At 36.2% G+C, this 23469-nt stretch overlaps 1 protein-coding gene across 9 annotated transcripts in view, besides 1 other annotated feature; it reads right to left on the bottom strand.

Moving 5' to 3' along the window:
* Positions 1-23469, bottom strand: part of ROBO2 (roundabout guidance receptor 2) — a 1743290-nt gene that overhangs the window by 1391974 nt on the left and 327847 nt on the right. The gene's annotated exons all lie outside the window — the stretch shown is intronic.
* Positions 14692-15199: an enhancer, noted in NCBI's record as "NANOG-H3K27ac hESC enhancer chr3:76291943-76292450 (GRCh37/hg19 assembly coordinates)". NCBI's record gives its function as "activates a minimal SCP1, AML or CMV promoter by ChIP-STARR-seq in primed H9 embryonic stem cells {active_cell/tissue: H9 hESC(primed)}" and the evidence as "EXISTENCE:reporter gene assay evidence [ECO:0000049][PMID:30033119]".

Here is a 23469-nt window from a genome sequence, read left to right as displayed (position 1 = left end):
TTTTCAAGAGACTCAATAAAATATACCAAGTGCTGAAATATGTGAAGCGTTTTTGTCTGTTTTCCAATGGCACAGGCATAAATTTAAAATGAAAAATTTCTTTCAAACACATTGTTCTATCTTTCCCCCACCCCATAACCCTTTATTTGATGACTTATGAACATATGGAGGATGCACTGATATAATAAGTGAGAGAAAGGAATTGTGCACTATGAAATACACTATACAATAGCGATCAGCACATACAATATGGAGAGTACAGAAATAACTGTATGCAGTGAGAGAAAGGAATTGTGCACTATGAAATACACTATACAATAGCGATCAGCACATATAATATGGAGAGTACAGAAATAACTGTATGCAGTGAGAGAAAGGAATTGTGCACTATGAAATACACTATACAATAGCGATCAGCACATACAATATGGAGAGTACAGAAATAACTATGCATTTGGTGGCAATTTCCTTGGAATCCTCACAATTTGGGAGAATCAATTAGGTAAACATCATATAATAATGTGCCTGCCATTCTCTTATTCTCTATTTAGTCAATGCATTTATATCTCTGTCTCCTTGGCACAAAGTTTAGGGCCAAGTAGATATTATAGAAAATAAACCTAAGAAATGACCATCATAAGAATACATATAAGTTATTTCTAAATTTTATGAGGTGTTCACACACACACACACATATGCACGTGTGTGCACACATAGAAGAAACTTTGATTTAAGAAGGAATTAAAGGTATTCTGATCAATTGCATATTTTGGTTAACAAACTGATACAGTTTCATTGTATATTCTGGCCAAGTCTCATGTTGAGTTGTAATCCCTAATGTTGTGAGTTATAATGCCTAATGTTATGAGTTGTAATCCCTAATGTTGTGAGCTGTAATCCCTAATGTTATGAGTTGTAATCCCTAATGTTAGAGGTGGGGGCTGGGCCGAGGGGCTTGGGTCGTGGGGACAGATCTCTCATGACTTCATGCTGTCCTCTCGGTAGTGAGTGAGTTCTTGAGATATCTGCTTGTTTTATGTGTGTGGTCCCTCCCCGCCCCACTCTCTCTCTTGCTCCCCTTCTTACCATGTGAGATGCCTGTGCTCCCTTGGACTTCTGCCATGAGTAAAAGCTCCCTGAGGTCTTTCTAGAAGCTGAGCAGATGTCAGGGCCATGCTTCCTATGAAGCCTGCAGAACCATGAGCCAATTAAATCTCTTTTTCTTATAAATTACCCAGTCTCGGGTGTTTCTTTATAGCAATGCAAGAGTGGCCTAACACAAAAGTTAACTTTACTATGTCACCCAACCTGGAGTACAGTGGCATGATCATGGTTCACTGCAGCCTCAGCATCCTGGGATCTAGTGGTCCTCCCACCTCAGCCTCCCTAGTAGCTAGAACTACAGACCACTATCATCAAGCCTGACTAATTTTTGCTTTTATTTTTTGTAGAGACAGGATTTCGCCATATTGCCCAGGCTGGTCTGGAATTTCTGGGCTCCAGTGATCCATCTTCCTTGGCCTCCCAAAGTGCTGGGATTACAGGTGTGAGCCATTGCACCTGGCCTAACTAATTAATACAATTTAATCTTAGAGAACTCAACCATACCTTGCGTGTGTGTGTGTGTGTGTGTATGTGAGAGAGAGAGAGAGAGAGAGAGAGAGAGAGAGAGAGAGAGAGAGAGAGAGAGACTCACTCTGTCACCCAGGCTGCAGTGCAGTGGCACAATCACAGCTCACTGCATCCCTGACTTCCTGAGCTCAAGGAATCCTTCAGCCTCAGCCTCCCTAGCAGCTGGGACTACAAGTGTACATCAACATGCCTGGACATTTTTTATTATTATTTTTCATTTTTATCAGAGAGGAGGTCTCACTTTGTTGCCCAGGCTAATCTTGAACTCCTGACTTCAAGGGATCCTCCTACCTTCATCCCTCAAAGTGCTGGGGTTACAGGCGTGAACCACTGCACCTGGCTCAGGGTAAGTCTTTTTCATATAATAGCAACTCATACCATATGATACAAATATCTATAAGAAAGTATCTGAAATATTTGCTAACTACAGTACATATTCAAAAAGCTTAGTGTGGTTTTTTTTTAATTGTGTCCTTTTATAAGATCTACTACTGATTCATTTTATTGTTGTTGATCTCAACCTAAATAACGTGGGAAAGTGATTAATACTATTATTCCAGGAAGTTGCTTTTAACTGCATGAGAATTGTCTATACAACAGGCATCTTTAAATATCTTATAAAACCGAGAGAAAGAGTAAAATAGTATTCTCTGTGATTTTCGATTGAACTCTTAAATTTAAATCTATAAACCATTTCTCATTATTATAGTTTATTTTCAATTACATCTTCCTTTGGTCTTTAAATACTCAAATTTTTTTTTTGCATAGTAAAATAGTAGTTATAAAGAAATGTTTTAAATTCAGAAATTCTGCATCAATGTTTACAATGTAAATTTTTCAGCCCTCAATTTTGGAGACCAGTTCCTGAGGATTGAGTTTTGTAGAAAGAACTCATCCCAAGAGGCTCTTGGCGAAAAAGAGCAGAGCAAGTGTCATCTTTCACAGATAATCTTATTATGGACAATGGGGGATTCAATAAGAATACTAAAGCAATATTTTATGTCACTGTTCTGAGCTCTATGAGTTTTCATAGTTTGTATTTTCATTATCTTCCAGATAGGGCTAAAACCCTAAAATATTAGAAAACAATAAATAGCAGGCAATCTTATGCATTCTCATGTCTGCAAACACTAACTTTTTCTGATGAACGTAAGCCCTGTATCACCAGATGAAGCCTCTCCCTTTAGCTACAGGTCGATTTATTTATTTAACTGACCAATGGACAGCCTCCACAGGCACAATGACTTTTCTCAAATTTGATCCTCTCTCCAACTTCTTATCCTAATGAATGGCATCTCCATTTGCCCAAAGTGTCAGCCTACATCTGAGTGTCAGCCTAAACTTTCCATTTATCTTGCTTCAATAGTTCATCAATTACCAAGTTCTCTTTTTTTAATTGAAATGTTTATTGAGATAATTATAGATTCACAGGCATAGTTTTAAGAAGTAATACAGTGGATACAGTGAGCTCCTGGGTACATTTTACTTAGTTGCTTCCAATGGTAATAATTTGCAAAATTATAATATAATACTACAACCAGGATATTGATCGATGTTGAAACAGTCCACGGATCTTATTGATGTTCCCTCAGTTTTATTTGTTCTCTCTCTCTCTCTCTCTCTGAGAGAGAGTATTTAGGTCTATAAAATTTTAATACGTGGGTTCATGTATCTACCACCACAGTAAAGGTATCACTAAATAGTTGCATCAACACAGGTATACTTTCCTCTCCAACCTGTCACCTTTTGTGCTGACAGCGTTATTGCAGTTATTTCTGACTCTAGACTTCCAGTCTCTCTAATTTAACTTTTACAGTATATTTATAAAGTGCATATCTAATTTTGTAACTCCTCTAGAACTACCATGTAAGCAGTTCCCTAAGTCTCTGACTGACTCTGCATTTACACGCTGGAAAAATTCTGTGTCTTACAAAAATATGAAGTTTGAACAAAAAGTTATTAGTGGAGTGTGTTGATCATATAAACAAGAAATCAAATAGCTTTTGCTGCCTACTCACTTAAGACATTATTTAGTGACAATTAATAGTCTTATCTATGGATGTGATGGTCCTCATAGTCACTCAACTGCAAAGTTTATAATACACTAATAGAAAATATATGCTGACTTCATTTTTATATTTAGAAATACTAAATCAAAGTGTCTACCAGATCTTGCTTCTCAAATTCATATCACTACAATCATAACCTGGCAACCAAAGTAAAAAGCCAAAGAGATATAGATCTGCAAAAGTAAAAAACTACTCCTACTAAAGATGAATCTCTTGAATATACTGGTATAATTACCACTTTATTTTGTAGACAGCTATAGATTGCTATTAATGATTTATGTATTGCTATCATAGCATATCACATTACATCTGAGAGTATGCTACTTTGCTTTCAATAATTTGTCTTATGGTTTCTAAAAATTTGTTGACTCTTTTCCATTTTTCTTCTTTCAAGATAAGTGTTCTCCTGAGAGTGAAGCATGTAACTTACTAGAAATTTATCCAAACTACTTCCTACTCAACATGAATTTGTAGTCTTTCACACCAAGAGAGATTTCTAAGTTACTGGAATGGATATGCTATCTCACTTGATTTTCTTATTCCAATTAAAATAGCATATAATAGTGATGCTTATATATGCTAATACTTACCTTTTTCTGTAAACAATTATTTGTTGCTCTTTTCAGAATTTTTATTCTCTCCTCTCACATGATAGTATTATTACTCTTAGTGGCTGTAAATTATGGCAACTAGATAATATCTTAGATATTACTCATGGGCCAGGTTTGGTGACTCATGTCTGTAATCCCAACACCTTGAGAGACCGAGCAGGTGGATTGCTTGAGCCCAGGTGTTCAAGACCAGCCTGAGCAACATAGCAAGATCTGATCTCTAAAAGAAATTTTAAAAACTAGCCAAGCATGGTGATGCACACCTGTAGTACCAGCTACTCAGGAGGCTGAGGTGGGGGAATCACCTGAGCCTAGGGAGTCAATACTTCAGTGAGCTGTGGTCATGTCACTGCAGTCCAGCATGAGTGAGAGTAAAACCCTGTCTCAAAAGTAAATAAATAAATAAATAAACATAACTTTTTAAAGTGATACTATTCATTACATTAGATTTAGCCACAACATGTACACAACATACCTGTCTTTAAAATTGATACACATTTCTAATAAACACACATGCATCTGTAAAAGAGGCTGATCTGTGATAGCATTATGTGTCAACTTGGTAAGACTGTAGTACCAGTTATTTAATCAAACATTGATCTAGGTGTTGCTGTGAAGGTCTCTTGTAAATGTGACTAACTCTAAAATCAGCTGACTTTAAGAATATGTTTGATAATGTGGGGGGGCCTTGTCAAATCAGTTCAAAACCTTAACAGCAAATTCTAAAGTTTCCTGTAGAAGAAAGAAAAATTCTGCTTCAATAATACAGCACTAACTGCTGCCCGAGTTTCCAGCCTGTAGGCCTCCCCTAGAGGCTACTTGCCAGTCTTCACAATCCCGTGAGTGAATTCCTTCAAAAAAAAACAAAGCAAAACAAAAAAACTCTGTGTGTGTGTGTGTGTGTGTGTGTGTGTGTGTGTATACATATACATGCGTTTTATATATATGTATATATGTGAGTGTGTGTATATATACACATATTTGTATAGGTATTTGTGTATATATACATATATGCTTCTCATTAGCAACAACATACCTTTTTTTATTTGATATTTTTCTGTCTTTCACATAAAACATCATCTTTGTAATGTTCACAGCCATATATATGTGTGTGTGCATATGTAAATATGCACACACATACCATATTGGAATTGTTTCTCTGGAGAACTGTGACGAATGCAACTAGCATTGATCAACTAAATATTTATATTGCTAGTATGTTAAAACCACCCTAATAGTTTTAATAAACAGTGGTGGCTGTCTCCCTAGATGCTTTCATCTTTCATTCATTGAGCAGCATCAAATACGTTTGAGTACGTCAAATACATTGAGTAGCATCAAATACATTGAATAGCACCAATTACGTCTGGTTGATCATTTGGAAATGAACCCACTCTTGGTTCAAGTGTTAGGCTTAGATTGGCCAAACCAATCTGTATAATCCCAGCCTGCTCACCACCATTCATATTCACTATACAAATGGTGATGGAGGTCAGTTAACTCACTTTAACACATGTATTTTTTCAGTGATTAAATTTGGTATTAAAATATAGCTGATACCTCATGAATTGCTTATTAAGTTACTTCTGGTCTCTGCTCAAATGTCTACCTGTGGGTGACATTTCATCACTTTATTTAAAACCACCATAAGCCCCAGTCCTCTGGCTCTCTCAAAACCTGTAACTTGCTTCTCATTAGCAACAACATATCATTGTTTTATTTGATATTTTTCTGTCTTTCTTATAAAACCTCATCTCTGTGATGTTCATAGCCATTTCACTGGGGCCTATAATGGTGCCTGCTATATTGATGACACCGAGTAAACATTTGCTTAATGAAAGAAATCTGCACCTGACAGCATCTTTAAGGAGTCACATTTTAAACCCAAGTCAAAATTTCGAAGCATCCACTGAGGATTTTATCCTAGCTTCAAACTAATTCAATCATCTTAACTGAATGTTCCTTATTTACATCTTTGACTGTTTCTTTTAATTTCTTTTTCTTTCACAGTTCTTATAGAAAACAGTTACATAAGCAACTCCAAAAGAGGATGCTCATGAGTTCTTTCCTATAGTTGATGCTAAAAATAAGTTTTGTTTTGGAAGTATTTACATGAAAAATATGACACTTTGCTAGAGAATTTACAAGTATGATCCGGTACAGAAATTGACCATTTTACCACCAAACCAAGTGTTATAAAATCCAAATTGTGACATCACACCATCTGGATATAACTGTAGATTTATATTAATTTCATCCAGAGCATAAATGTATTCTTTTCTCCTCTTCCTGCCTAGATCTACAGCTGTTCACTGGCAAAGGAGACCAACTCATCTCTTTCCTGACATCTGGCTCTTTCATTTCACGTCTCTTTCATACCCTCCCGCAACTAGCTGAAGGTGGATTTTTTTTTTCTTTTTACTTCTTTAATATGGCATTGGAAATTATGAGCACAAGTCCAGTTAATAACTCTTGCACCCTGATGACAAATTTGGTCATCTATCTTCAGTTACAAGAATACAATTATAGATGGTGTTTATACCTCAGCAACTTAATCAAAAGGCTGCAGGGGTAGGAAGGGTGCCACTGATAAGAATGCGTTTCTTCAGTCATCATATTGTGCCCAGCTACAATCAGTCAGGAAAGAATATGCTATGAAAGGCCAAGGCTGCAGCTGGTTATAAGCATAAGTATCTTATCACCTTTATAGTTTCTGGGATTTACACAGCTCTAATAATTCAGGTGAATTATAAGAATAAAAGTTGTTGCTTACTTTTTACCCCTGGAGTCAAGTTTTGAAAATAACATGCAATATGATGTTTTGAAATATCATGGACTTTGATTCGGGGAATATGCTGAAAAGAATGAAAACAATATAAAAATTTATTAGAGAAAATGGGTAGAAGTTAAAAGAAACTTTTTAAAAACCTTTCTCCATTTTTAGTACTATTAGTACTTAAAATTTGCAAAGCATTGTTTCGAGTGCTTTACCAGATATGTCAACAGATTTTATTCTCAGAGCATTCCTACGTCATTCATTTCACCCTTGAGTAAACTGAAGCGCAGGGATATGAAACTGTTCAAGGCCATACTCCTTAAGAAAGGCAGTGCTAGCACATGTCAGATGGGTTCCATGGAGACTATTATAAAGATATGGCAACCCAAACTCTCCTACACGCAAAACGATTAACTACTTATGCACGGACAACACTTCCCTAAAATATGATAGATTTGAAATTTTCATTCACACCCAGTGTGATTTTTGCTCTCTAATGAAAAGGAATGTCGTTGATACAGATCTGATTTCAGTATACAATAAATATGCAAAATAAAAACATTACTCAAAACTAGGTTATTTTATTTGTTCCCAAAAGGATCATCAAGTAATCTCAGTAAACTATTATTTACATTCCGATATGTGATTTCTAATATTCTGGGTTATAGACTTTTATTCACACCTGGTTTTGAAGCTAAAAGCAGTGTAACTATAAAATTTCTTTTCTGTTTGCTTGTTTTTGTATATTTTTCTGCACCACTGCTGGCAGGAATACAATTTTGATATTACATAATTTTGTTAACTGATAACAGCATTTCATAAACTGACCTCCATTATTCATTGGTCCCAGGAGACCCTCCACAATGTAAGAGTACTTTAGTTAAATAAACATGGGAAATTTTCTTTATCTTACTGTTGGAAACTTACAACATACCTTAACATATTAAAGACTCTGAAATGCCTTGAAGAGGGGGGAAATACCTGTTTGACATTATTTAACTCAGTGATTTCCAATGTATGTAAAGACAGATTCTATAATAATATCTTGAAGCTTTCTTAGAAGCAACATTCTTCAAATATCCTTTGAGAAACGGTGGTCTAAATTGGAAAGTCCATCTTTGCAAATATTCCTCTCTCTCATTCCATTTGTTCCAGTTAGTTAAACGCATTGTGGAATTGTCTGTCTTTTGGCTTTCTTGCAAATAATATAGCCAAATAATTTTCTGCAGTAAAGTATTATTATTCCATAGACACACTGTGACCACGCTCATCAAACATGGCATAGCTAAAAGCACTAATCATTGAAATCACCTGTGTAAACATGACTTAGTTGCTTGCAACAGAAAAGTTTTGCCTGGGAAAAGTAAGATTGCAAAATAATAATAACTTTTCTTTCTGCTTTAGGCAGTTCCTGCAGATCCATTTATTAAAGATAGAATCTGGCTCACCTGGGTAAATAGTTGAGTTATCATAAGTAATTCACTTATTAAAATTCTCTTATTTAAAATCTTTACTTTGCTATATCTCCCAATCCTGGATTGTTATATTATAAACTTCCCAATCAGTTGCCTGCCTTGAGAATCTCAGTTTTAACCGCTCAAGTCCTGACTCTCCAACTGTATAAATATCCATTTTGACTTCCCAGTTCTGAGGCACTGTTAGTACTGTGTGGTGGTGATGTTCTTTCTTACTACACTAAGTTTTAACTCATTTAGCTTTGCTTTATTAACAAGTTGTCTCTTAATATTTCACGAAGTTCAACCAAATTCAAGTATAATTATTAACTACTTATAAAATAACGAAGACCTTATCAAAGATGTGCACATGTACATCACCAATTATTCCAAAGAATTCCCAGTTTTTCATTCCACTTCAAATCCCTTTAGTCTCCCAAAAAACACGAAATACATGTGTGTCTTAGAAAATCAGTCAATCATGTTAGAAAATTTACATTTTGATGATTGAACACATATCTGTGCTAGTACCAGCGTAAACAGCACAGACTTTGGTAAACAGCAGAGACTCAGGTAAGCAGGCTAGACTTTACTAAACAGCATAGGTCTTTTCATGGAGTTTAGAGGTTGGTGAAATGACAGGGTTTAGAGAGGGAAGTAAACAAATGCACACACTATGACAAAATGTATCAGTGCCATGACAACTAATCCAAAACAAAATAGGAGTGGAATAGTTGGAAGATCATTTTAGATTATGAAAGTCTGGAAGAATTTCTTTTTTTTTTTTTAAGTTTTTTTTCTTTTATTATTATACTTCAAGTTTTAGGGTACATGTGCACATTGTGCAGGTTAGTTACATATGTATACATGTGCCATGCTGGTGTGCTGCACCCACTAACTTGTCATCTAGCATTAGGTATATCTCCCAATGCTATCCCTCCCCCCTCCCCCGACCCCACCACAGTCCCCAGAGTGTGATATTCCCCTTCCTGTGTCCATGTGATCTCATTGTTCAATTCCCACCTATGAGTGAGAATATGCAGTGTTTGGTTTTTTGTTCTTGCGATAGTTTACTGAGAATGATGATTTCCAATTTCATCCATGTCCCTACAAAGGACATGAACTCATCATTTTTTATGGCTGCATAGTATTCCATGATGTATGTGTGCCACATTTTCTTAATCCAGTCTATCATTGGTGGACATTTGGGTTGGTTCCAAGTCTTTGCTATTGTGAATAATGCCGCAATAAACATACGTGCGCATGTGTCTTTATAGCAGCATGATTTATAGTCCTTTGGGTATATACCCAGTAATGGGATGGCTGAGTCAAATGGTATTTCTTGTTCTAGATCCCTGAGGAATCGCCACACTGACTTCTACAATGGTTGAACTAGTTTACAGTCCCACCAACAGTGTAAAAGTGTTCCTGTTTCTCCACATCCTCTCCAGCACCTGTTGTTTCCTGACTTTTTAATGATTGCCATTCTAACTGGTGTGAGATGGTATCTCATTGTGGTTTTGATTTGCATTTCTCTGATGGCCAGTGATGGTGAGCATTTTTTCATGTGTTTTTTGGCTGCATAAATGTCTTCTTTTGAGAAGTGTCTGTTCATGTCCTTCGCCCACTTTTTGATGGGGTTGTTTTTTTCTTGTAAATTTGTTTGAGTTCATTGTAGATTCTGGATATTAGCCCTTTGTCAGATGAGTAGGTTGCGAAAATTTTCTCAAGAATTTCTTAAGGAATTAAAATTTAAGATGCGAGTTGAAGAATGAGTAAGACCAAACCATATCAAATCAGGAAGAGAGAGCAGTCAGCAAATGAAGCAGCGTGGGTCCTCAGGTTTCAAAACAAACAAACAACAACAACAAAATCCTGCTTATTATTTAAGAAACTAAAAGAAGCCCAATGTGTCATAGCGCATAGATAGGACAGGTGCCAACTTTCAGAAAATGGGTTAGAGTAATAAAGAATTTGGATTTTATTCTAAATGTAATGTTAAAATTTTGAATATATTTAATGGAAAGCTAATGTGATCTAATTTATGTTTTCAATAGCAGTCTAATTATTTGGTGAAAAATGAACTTTAGAAGATCAAGAATGCATGTGGGGAGGTTTGGGAAGAGGCTAAAGTTATCCTGGGGAGATACCATGGAGACTTTTTGATTGGAGCAGTGGCCATAAAAATAAAGTGAAGTGGCACTAACTCACAATTGATTTTACTGTCAAATCCAACAGGATATGGTAACAGATTGAACACACGTAAGAAGTCTAAGTAACAAGGAATGGAAAAGTGTGATTCCAAATGTCTTGAAGAACAACTGTGTAGATGGATGTATGGAAACGATGTTTCTCTTCAAATAGCTGGCATGGTAGTACAACAGAAACTAGAATTTGTAGCCCTGATGGCCTGTCTCTGATAATATAGAACTATTTTTTACACCTATTTGCTGGTCACCCTTGAGCATTACAGTTGTGTTCCAGGCCTGATAATTTACAACTAAGATGGAAAAAATAAGAATTTCCAGGGTCATCAATTTTAACTGTGTTCCTAATTCCAAAGTTCAAATTGCAATAAATGATAGGAAGGATTTGGCTGATAAACCAAGTCAATTCTAATAAAGTTATATACTTTATCTCTGTAAAAAGAAATAGAGTCAACATAGCAGTCATTAGAACTTACCCATAAAATTTAATTAAGACTGATTAGAGAATTAGATGCTCTAGTCTAGAATTCAGCATGCCTAAAATTCTCACTCAAAATAAATCCTTTTCTAGTTGGGTGGGAAAAATTATGCACAGCAGTAACAAAATAAGTTTGTTATAACTTCTAGGGAATAATACTAAGGTGGCCTATTCCCTGAACGTGACTTGATATTATTTAAATGCATAAACCTACTAATAATTAGAAAGTGTTCGTAAAAACTCATGAAACATTTTATACAGAATTTTAACAAAAATGCAGGAAAAAGTTGTAAACCAGAAAATGCTGAGTAACTAATCAGACATGACATGACATTTATTTACTAATTAGTTTTCAAAACCTCCATTAACCTTTCTGCATTCCAGTTAACTTTTGAGCTGTAGACTTACGTCCTCAAATTACAAGAAATGATACAATTGAATTATACCCTGTGCCTTGCCTAGCACTTGAAAAGCACTGAAATCATTGCAAATTAAATGACAAGTAACTCAGTCAATATTTCATTTACTGCTTCAGAGCTGTTCAAAGAGTTACTCTTGTGAGATGATATGCAGGAAATAGGAGTCAAACACACCATTTCCTGATCATTGAAAAAATAATCTGGTTTGGAAAAAAAAAACTTCTTCACTAACAAAATACACATACCACCTAGAAAGTGTGTTATTTTCAATGGGCTCTTCCATGTTGCTAACATATAATGAGTAATACATAACACACATGGAAAACAAAAAGCATATATATGTACCTTTCATAAAATTCAGCTTCTTCTCTTTATTTAATGTGGGTATTAAAAGCTCTTGGGTCATTCTAATTCTCCTTTTCCTTTAGAAGGTAGAAAACTTCTCCAGAATATAACAACTTAGTGTGGCTGTTGGAATGAAGGGGAGTCAGCAGTAGTAGCAGACCTTTGAAGTATGACTTGTCTGTGCCCAGGGAGCAAGTATCATTCAGCAGAGCAAAGTAAATATTTGGATTTCTTATTCTGAGCAATGGCTAGAGAGAATAATTCAGAAAATTTATTATAGATAAATTGAGCAGAAGATGTAATGCTTAGCAAGAATTCCCAAGCCCTTTGAGACTAGAGAAAAATTTTAAATTCAAAATGGTATAAGATACAAAATAGAATATTAAGATTAAAGATTGATGATTATATGAAATAAAAAATCATCAAATAAGAGAAAGATAAACCAAAATCATTTATTTTAAAAATTATTTTTGAATGACTAAATAGAAACTCATTTTTTATAATGTAATGAGTATTGTATTTTAGGATCATTTTCCCAAAGAGCTTCCACTGTAGGTATTTTTGTCAACAATTCATGTTAATTATCTGTCACAATTAGGTAGTTAGATTCATCCATCCATTCATTCAATGAATACAAATGGAATTTCTACAATATTCCCAGGAACATTGCTGCACATAGAAAACACAGCAGTGACTAAAATAGGTATTGGGCGCTGCCCCAAAAGGGTTCAAGCTCTGGCCGACCTTCCCACTTAACCCACATATTTGAAGCATTACAAATACTTATGTCAATATTGATATTTTTCAGTATAGAAAGAAATTGTGTAAGGTCTAGATTACAAATGACATGAGAAATATTTAAGTATTAAAAATATTCTGGTAATGGATTCTGTTTTCCCATTTTAAAGAGGCAAATTGAAAATTCAGAGTTTTTTAGGAAAATGCCTTATTATGAGTGACAATATTTACACACTGTTTAATTTCATCGGTGAATTTGTAAGCCAATTTCAAAACATATTCTATTTTGTTGAAACAGAACCTATTTTGTGTAAAGAATTCCATAAAAAGGATGATGTTAGGCTGACACTTAACATCTAGATACCGAAGACACAGACTATTAAAGTTCCAAATGTATTAAGTGATGGGGTCTGAATAGTTACTTTTATTCATATTTTGAATTTTTTATAGCATTTTGTAATTAGAAAAGACCTTCAGTATTGTCTATTCTAACACACCCATTTTACCCATTATCCCATAATTTGTCTACAACCATACTTTTCTTTTTGCCTCAGTGCGAGGTCTAGATTTCCAGGCTCCTGACGTCCAGTCCAATACTTCTTCTAATGTGTTATTCTGCTTCTCTGAATTAATTAGGCCGTAAGTTAGGCAGCTTCAAGAAAAGTTGTGAAAGAATATGTCTCAAGCAAAATAGCAGTTTGTGTTTTTATCATCTATAAGCCTGAACTGCCCAGGACTGGAAATGTAATGCCACAATTATTAGGGGCTTGATTGATTTTTCTCCATTGCCATCCACATAAATGGTTTCTACCATATAATCCAAGACAAGTAATTCAGTTCAAACCTCCTGTCCACCTTCCAGGCAACAGGAAGTTGGTTGGAAAGATAGTGAGTGCCTGTTTCTTCCTGTCAATCACAGGACCCAGAAAGGGGACATAGCACCAAATTACTTCATCACCCCTAGGTCCAGCCAAAATTTATGTTACAAAGACAAAGGAAGAAGTGATGTCCAGGACAGCTGGCTAGCCTTTGCTACATCTGAGCAGTCTCTCAAGTTCTATTGCTGGCTTTACCTCTTACAGGCTGTGTACATTGAATCTCTCTAAACTTCAGTTGCCTTGTTCCTAAAATAGAAAAGAATAATAATCCATTTCTTAGGTTGTTTCTATGTAGATTCAATAAGATATGACATGTAAAATGCTTACAAGAGTGCCTGGCACAGTAAATACATAATTATTAGTTGCTATTTACTGTTAACCATATTCTGACAATAGAATCAAATTTGTCCTCCAGCTCCTCCCCCAAGCTCCCTTCTTCCCAAATTAAAAAAAAAGAAAAAAACTTACATTGTTCTCTACTTTGCTAATAGACAAGAACTATACTGTATGAATAAACACAAAATGTTGGTTTCTATTTTATTGTATTCAGTACTAAAGAGCTTTTAATCTCCATAAGTGGAAAAGATAATATTATATTTGTTCACTGCATAAATTACCCCAAGAAATAAAAAAATATTGAGGGCAGATATAAGATTATTAACTTGGCTACAGGGAGGTAAACGACAGGGGAAATGGTGAAGAGCACTTTTCTTATCTGCAGGCATCACGCCTGCAAGTGCTGTCTTCTGCTACTTCTCATGGTTTTTACTGTTGGTTTCCTAAGCTCCTGCAGTTTTTATCGTCCTCAGCCCTCCAGCTTAAAGCTCTAAGAGTGGGTCTCTCCCAGAGACTCCCGGCTGCTTCTCAGGCCTTTGGGTACTACTGTGTTTTCTCTTTAGCTTATTTATACTGTTTTGTAATATAAGTGATAATGAGAGATGTGTCTCTTTGCTTTCTCTTTCCTTATACTTTACCAAGACAAAACAAAATACCACATGACCTTACTGCCCCCTCCCCTGCGTGTCCCCACCCTCCATTCCCTGAGGGAGTTACGGCAGGGCTTTGGGGGACAGGGTGCATCCTCAGCAGAATGGTAAGAAAAATAGAAGGACCGGCAGTGCTCAAGGAGCTGGAAGCTGCAGCACAGGGTTCAAAATATCAGAAGTGACATGTAATGGGCTAAAGGGGCCGCGAGAGGATACCAAAGTCAACTTTGCAACCTGGCATCCGAAGTCCGAGAGAAAAAGGTTAATCAAGCGACTCAGCAAATGGGAAAGTAAAGGAATGAGAAACCCCCTGGAATTGCCTTTTGTTTGTGAGTTGTTACAGGGATTAGCCGTTTTTACAGATTTAAAGAGCCAGTAAAGGCCTAGAAGCGGGGGAATCGTCCATGCAGCAACTTACTTCCATCTATAAATACGTTACGTGTTAGATCAGGATTTGTTTGTTTGTTTTGTTCATTCAGTTGTTTTGTTGTTGTTTTGTTGTTGTTGACATGACAGGATCTCCCTGTGCTCTGTGGCCCAGGCTGGAGTGCAGTGGCACTATCACGGGTCACTGCGGCTTCAACTCCCGGGCTCAGGCGACCTTCCCACCTTAGCCTCCCAGCTAGCTGGGACCACAGGCATGCACCACCATGTCTTGCCAATTTTTTATATTTTGTAGAGACAGGGTCTCACTATGTTGCCCTGGTTGATCTCCGATTCCAGGGCTCAAGCAATCCTCCCACCGCAGCCTTCCAAAGTGCTGGGATTGCAAGACCGAGCCACCACGCCCTGCCTAGATGTGGGATTTCTTGCTTCGGAGATTTATTTGGGAACATGCTTTCAGGAGAAGGGACATGAAGGGCACAGGAAAGACAGAGCAGAGAAACAGAAGCTAAACAAATATGTGGCCTTCAGCTAGAGACTAGCTTCTCCCTGATTCTACCAGGAAGCTCTGAAGTCTAAGCTGTATCACAACAATAGTCCTACTTTGACATAAAGAAGCCAGCCTTTTGTATCTAATATTATAATAGTACAAGGTAGTAGCTGAGACTGCCCCGCTCCATAGGGTGAAGGAGAGCTCTATGCCTCCTAGTCGCATTTGGTCAAGGAGTATCTGAAGAAGGGGGCAGTTGTGTTTTTAGTAGCCAAGAGTGCACAGATCCATAATGTAACTGGCTAGAACAGGGCCGCACAACAACTGCTTTAGAAAGCAGCTTCATAATGTAATTGCTATATTTGGCAATAAGGAAATGCATTAACCAAGATCCATTATTTGACCGCTTAATAAAGGGGGAAAAAGGAATGTCTCAAAGTTTTCAGTCATTTAGGGAAAAAAAATTACATTTCAGTGACTATGAAGATAATATTTCAGAGTGGTAATCAGCACTTTCCTTGCTTTCTACTCAACATACTTTATTTATAGTATCTGACAGTTCTAGTATCCCTTAAATAGGATTCTAATCTCTTCTCACTTTGCTTCACGTGTGAATATTTAATTATTCACAATTCCATCATGAAAATTGTCCTAATCCATTGGAGCCAATGATAAAACATTACACAAGGAATAACCATTACATTTCCTATCATTCAGACAGTACATTTTTTCCTCCTGGAAATGTATAATCATTTTTTACTATTATAAGTTCACACTGAATGAAGCAAAAGTATATGTAAGAGACACAATTAGCAACAATCCGAAAATGAGCTTTTATATCACACACCATTTGTTTCAGGAATATATTTGAGCATTTTGTGCAGAAACATATTTTTCATCTTTGGATCTGAAGGCTAAGGTGTGAAATGGGCTACTCTATTCACTTAGTAATATAACTGAGCATGAACCTAAAGCTCAAGAATTTTCTGAATCAAGAGTTTCAGTCACGAAGCTTATTTTCTAAAACTTCAAACATACAAGTATATAAGCTCCACAAGGACAGGGATTTTCCTCCGTTCTGTTCTCTGCTATATCTTCTGCGCTAAAACAGCACCCAGCACATAGCAAATGACCAGTAAGTGTTTGTTCACTGAATGCGAATATGTTTATTGATGGATTTTGACATCGTCGTTTGTTTGAACAACTTCTTAGTCTTTCTTTGTTAATGTGCTTTTCTTCTTCATTGTTTTTATTTCCCCATGTCCTTAAGATCCCGGGAAGCCATGGCATCATGAAATAGTTATTCAATAACAGAGTTAAAGTTTTAGAAAGGCCAGTAAACTAGGAAATACCTGTGAGTGGGGAATAGAAATACGCTTTTATCACAGATAACCACGCTACCAAGAGGTGACCATTTTAATGAAATGTAAATGAGATGCTATTGATAGATTCCTATCTTTACAAATTTCATAAACCAAAACTGTTTGGATGAGGAGAGATTTATCTTTCTATGGAAATGTCCTCCCAAATCTACAACTTCCATAGGACTATATTTTTATTGTAAAATGGAAGATAATTACTACATGTTAAACTATATTTTCTTGCTTTATGTAGAGGAAGTACCTTTCTCATTTACTAAGTTCTGACATTTTAGAGTTGGAAGTGACCTTAGGATTATGTAGTCTCTATGAGTGCAGCCCAAAACCCTCAGTGTTTATGGCTGTACAAGTAATTTCTGATCATTCCACAACTGAAATTCTACCAATTGGATAATGATAAGTATCTCTTGTATATGTATCTATTGGTGATTTAGATGAACGGTGTGGAAAAAAAAAGCAGGACGTCACCTCACCCACAGGAAATTTACTGTTTTCCAATGCAATGCCTTTCCTACTACACAAAATCAAAGAGCATCTTTTTTCTATTTTTCATTTCACTCCAATCATAGCACTTAGATTATTCTAGATGTCTCTAAAACATGCTTCAAAGTTTCCTTCTACTTCAACGAATCTTGAATGTCATCACACCCTTCAAATAATTTACTTAATATACTAGTTTTATCATAAAAATCCCCACTGAAACTATTTTTGAAGACTTGCCTGGACATCCGGTTAACCAACACTCCCTTTGAAAGTATAGCCAAACACCGCATGTTCTCACTTCTAAGTGGGAGTTGAACAATGAGAACACATGGACACAGGGAGGGAACATCACACACTGGGGCCTGTCGGGGGGTGGGGGTTATGGGAGGGAGAGCATTAGGACAAATACCTAATGTAGATGATGGTTTGGTGGGTGCAGCAAACCACTATGGGAAGTGTATACCTATGTAACAAACCTGCATGTTCTGCATAGGTACCCCAGAACTTACAGCATAATAATAAAGAAAGTACAGCTCTAGATTAACAATCAAGCCTTGTAAATACTACTCCACTCCAGAAACACAGAGCTTCATGTCTAGAACGGCCTGTGCTCTGCCTGATCACACTGTGACCATATCCACCTCCCTCCTTGGCAACTGCTTTTCTCATCGTGTACCATGTCTTCCTCCTGCCTGTTTCACTCCCAACGTGCCTGCAAAGCCCCATTTACACCTCTCATCATCAACATGGTTTCTCTGACAATCTGCACCTAGACTGTGATCTCTTTTTCTTCAGAATTTGCAACATTTACTCTCTGGACCAATCAGCTGGCACTTTGCACAGGAGCCAGTTAGGCTCCAATTTGAGGCCAAGGTCACTGTAGATAAGCACTTTACAAAAACCATTTGTTATTACCAGGATTTAGGTAAGTGTCAATGATTGTTTTGTTACAAAAATTAAAGACTTTAATTTGTAATCTTGATCAAGTAGAGACCATCATGGCTCTTCCCAAGAAGTACTTGTGAATCAATTCATGCATTCTCATTAGTACTCAAATGAAATCACAGATCATGTGCTATAAAACACACATGTGCCCAAGGTCAAGAGAATTCCGACTGGACTTCAACACCTGTCTATCTCTACAAAACAGAGCCTGTTCTGTCCAATAGTTGCTTGGTTTGAACCTACACCCAAATAAATTCATCAAGGCAACTTCTCTTAAAAAATTGTGCATGTGTCTGTATACATACTTATATACACATTATCTAGATACATACTATATATGTACATATATATATATACATATACGTATTCTATACTACATAAACATGCATATTATATAAAGTCATGCCAGATAATTTTGAATTTTTCTATTAAATAGGATTATTTAGTAGTATCCATTGGAATTAGGACATTGTGGCTGACATTTGGATACTGCAGTATTTATTGTTGCCCTCCCTTAAAAAAATTTATTTCTCTCTATCTCTATAACTACCATTCTACCAAAGTCATCATTCCTAGATTATAGCGGTGGTTTTCACAATTTAGTGAGCACTGAAATCAGCTGGCAGTCTTGTTAAAACATAGATTAATGTAAATATCAGGAAGGAGTCAGTACTGAAAATTTGAGTATCTAGCAAGTTTTCAGTTGATACCAATGCTGCTGGTCCTTGGACCACACTTCTGGAGACCCTAGAATAGACAGTTACAAAAGGCTTCTCATTGGTCTCTCTGCCTTTATTTTTTCACTCTTCTACAATCTACTCTCTAAAAGCAGGAAGTGAGGTCTAGTCAGTGATATGGTTAGGCTTTGTGTCCTCACCCAAATCTCATCTTGAACTATAATCCCCATAATCCCCTCGTGTCTAGGGGGAGACCTGTGGGGAGTTGATTAGATCATGGAGGTGGTTTTCCTCATGTTCTTCTCACATAATCCCCTCATGTCTAGGGGGAGACCTGGGGGGAGTTGATTAGATCATGGAGGTGGTTTTCCTCATGTTCTTCTCACATAATCCCCTCATGTCTAGGGGGAAACCTGGGGGGAGGTGATTAGATCATGGAGGTGGTTTTCCCCATGTTCTTCTCACATAATCCCCTCATGTCTAGGGGGAGACCTGGGGGGAGGTGATTACATCATGGCCGTGGTTTTCCCCATGTTCTTCTCACATAATCCCCTTGTGTCTAGGGGGAAGCCCTTGGGGGAGGTGGTTAGATCATGGAGGTGGTTTTCCGCATGCTCTTCTCAGGAGAGTTAGTAAGGTGTCTGATGATTTTGTATAAGTGGCTCTTCCCACTTCACTCCTCACTCTTCTCTCTCCTGCTACCACGTGAAGAAGTCCCTTGCTTCCCCTTCACATTCCCCTATGATTATAAGTTTCCTGAGGCCTTTCCCAGCCACGTCAACTGTGAGTCAATTAAACCTCTTTCCTTTATAAGTTACCCAGTCTTGGGTATTCATTTACAGCAGTGTGAAAACAGACTAACACAGTCAGATTCCATTGTTTTCAACTTTTCTTTGGCTTTAAATTTCAGTAAGAATAACCTCCCAAGTCCTTTAAATGGTCAAAAAGTCCATTTCATGTCTTTCAGACCTTTTTGCCATAGTACCCATAATGTGATAATGTGCATGGCATTTTAGAGTAAAAGAATGGGACTTCTTTCCATCAAAAGAAATCAGACCCCAAGTCTCCACATAGCCCAGGTCCCCACCAGCTACACAAAGGCTGATAAGATGCCTCTCTTCGGTATGCCTTTAATCTCAGCCACAAGGTTTGAGGGGAAAATCGCTGTCTTAGAACACGAGTTCATTGTAATCAGTTGAAAATACCTGAGTCTTGGTCCTGCTTACCGCTCCAATCTCATACTCTACCAAAGTTTTTTCACACTCATGTCCTCTAACCACATTGCTTTTTATATTTATTTATTTTTTTCCTATTTCTTTCTGTTCCTGGGTGATACCAAGCTTAGCCACACATCAGTAATCATACATGTTTCACTCATTAGTGTATTCTCCTGGCACCATGCTGGCATGAAAAAGATGCTCAGTAGGTATTTATTTATTTATTAACTATCCAGGACATTGAGCTTCTTTTTTAAGTCATTCCTAGATTGAACAGTCAGGAAGTCTCAATGATACAAAGGATGATGTTTATTTTTCTATTTGACATGGCAAACATTCTACTGAGTCCAACATTTATATTAAATTATTGAGATATATCTTCAAAGGGAGGGATCCTAAGATACAGCTTCTTTGGAATTTGTTTTGTAAAGGTTTAGTTTCTATTTAATGATTTTAAACATAATGTTTAGACAAGATATATAAAGAAAAAACAAAACCATTAATGATTATAGCTTGGCCTATTGATAGGTTCCACAGATTCCATCTTAGGTAATGTAGACCTTCTTTCACAGTTTTTATATTAAAGTGACTTTAACACCAAGATTTAGGTATCTTTTAGTTTTACATTGTTTGAGTATGGAAAATTTCATTTACTTGCTACAAGGAGGCACAACTAATGGCTTCTGTAATTGAAGACATTAATTAAATTTCACTCATTCATTCAGTAAAATATTTAAAATGCCATATATTGTATTGCTTTCTAATTATTAACTACATATACCTTAAAAGACAATATTCATTTCAAATGACTGAAGTTCTACTCTATTAACCAATCCATGTAACAACTAAGAAATTAGCTTTGGTAATTTAACTCATAAAATGTTACATATAAAGGAAAAAAATGCAACATTATATACACTAGGGGTATATTTTCCCTACCAGATGTTACATTATATACCTTAGGGTTATATTTTTCCTACCAGATCTTACGTTATCTAGTAATTTGATATTTCTTCTTGAATTCTGAACTGTCTATTCAAATAGTTAATATCATGTTTAATTCAGAAAACCTAATCATGTATTTTTTTCTTTAAAGGAATTCTAACTTCTCCTTTTTCATAATTTTGACAAGGAAATAAATTATTCCAATGTCCCACTCCAATATTCACAAATAAAAACTGCAGTATCTTGTAGTGTTGTCATTTGTAAGATTTACAGAGTTGGAAATGCAGAAGCAGCACTAATAATCTACTTAGTAGAAAGTAACACGAAAATTACTTAACCACGATTCAAACTTTGTCAATTGCTTTTGCAAGAACATCTCAGATTTTGTTCTTTGATGAAGACATTCACCTTGCTAAAATATGGTCTTTATACATAACAATGTGTAAAAATTGACCCTCAAGATTTATTTCAGTCTGCACTTTAGAGATACATTTTTATACAAAAGGAATGGGATGTTATACTATTTAAAGCCTCCAAAACCAAGATAAACATTGACATAATTCCGTGTTTCTTAAGTATTTTTAAACACAAAAGATATAAGGATTAAAAACATGCTTTGTAATAATTAGAATGTTTTTAGTTATTTACACTTTAAAACTGAATACATCTATACTACATGTAAATTGATATTATATAAATAGAAAATTAAATATAGGCAAATAAAATTAAATAATTGACTTAACTTTATTATTAATAGCAAACTCCATTTAATTAGAACAAAAAAACATAACTGAGGACCTGAATTATCTGAGCTGGTGATTAACAACCAAATAAGGCAGAAAATTAACTATATGAGGTTCATTTCCTTAAAGTTTATTGACATATGAAATTACCAATCCATTCATCTTTATTTCTATTATTTTTGATAACTTAAATGTGTTTCCTTCCCTGCTTTCTTCATCCTACCTTCTCTTCTTCCAATTTTTAAAATTCTCCACCAAAGAAACTCTCACTGGCTCTTCAGCTTTTATTAATCTTGTCCCACCAAAGTTCTCAAAACTTCCAAAATGCCCCTGTTTTTAAAACCCACAATGCAATTAATGCCCTAAAGTTACAAATACCAACAATCCACCAATGAATTATATAAAATGGCTATGGAACTTTTCTCTCTAAGCAAATGTGACAAGTTATGAACACGTACAGTTACAAGTTCACGTATTCCAAATTTAGAAAGTTACCCTGAGGGTTGCTTTAAATTTTTATGTCTCTTTAAGTTGACTTTTTTTAATGGTTTCTTCAATACTAATTCAGAATGAACTACTCTGGACTACCAAGATCTGTATTAGTTTTCTAGGGCTGCTACAACAAATGACCACTAACCAGGTAGCTAAAAACAACAAAATGTATTCTCCGCAGTCGTAGACAGGTCAGCAGGACCACACTCCCTCCAAAGGCTTTAGGGAAGGTGGCTTCCTTGCCTTTTCTAGCTTTCTTTGGTTGCTGGCAATGCTGGGCACCTCTTGGCTTGTAGAAATTCACTCCAATCTCTATCTCTACCTTCACATGGCCTTCTTCCCTGTGTGTGTTGGGCGGTGGGGCGGTGCTCATGGGGAGAGAGGGGAGGTTTCTGTGTCTAAATCTCCCACTCCTTTTTCTTATGAAGACATAAGTTAGTATGATTCCATCTTAACTTGGTTACCTATGTAAGCACCTCAATGCCAAATAAGTCACATTCACAACTACTGTGAGGGAGGACTCAATCATAACTTTTTAGAGACTACAGTCCACTCACTACAACTTACCCACCCTTTGGGCCCAAAATTCACGTCCTTCTAAGTGCAAAATGTTTTCACGACATCTTAACATCCTTGGGAGTTTTAAACCACTCCAGCAACAGCTCAAAGTCCAAATTTTTATCTTCTAAACCATCTAAATCAGCTACAAGAGAGACTGGGTACAATCTGCCGTGGGGAAAATAACCCTTCATCTGTGGATTTCAACTAGGAAATGAGTTTTCTTCTTCCAAAATATAATGAACAGGCATAGGATAAACACTCCAATTTCAAAAAGATAATTGGAAAGAACAAAGGGGTCACTTGTGCCAAGGAAGTTCAAAACTTAGCAGGACAAATTTTACTGGTAGTAAAGGCAAATATACATAAATTTGAAATAGACTGACCAAAGACATCAAGGTATTTTTTTGTTTAAAAACAGTGTATGACAAGCATACGAAAACATGTCCATCGGTAATTAAATAAATACAAATCAAAACCACAATGAGATACCATCTCAAACCAGTCAGAATGGCTATTACTAAAAAATCGAGGAATAACAGTTGCTGGTGAGGTTGTGGAGA

The sequence above is a fragment of the Homo sapiens genome, chromosome 3 (assembly GCF_000001405.40).
Source record: "Homo sapiens chromosome 3, GRCh38.p14 Primary Assembly".
NCBI classification, from domain to species: Eukaryota; Metazoa; Chordata; class Mammalia; order Primates; family Hominidae; genus Homo; species Homo sapiens.
Note: the sequence above shows the minus strand (reverse complement) of the source record. Positions and strands in the feature narration are given on the sequence as shown.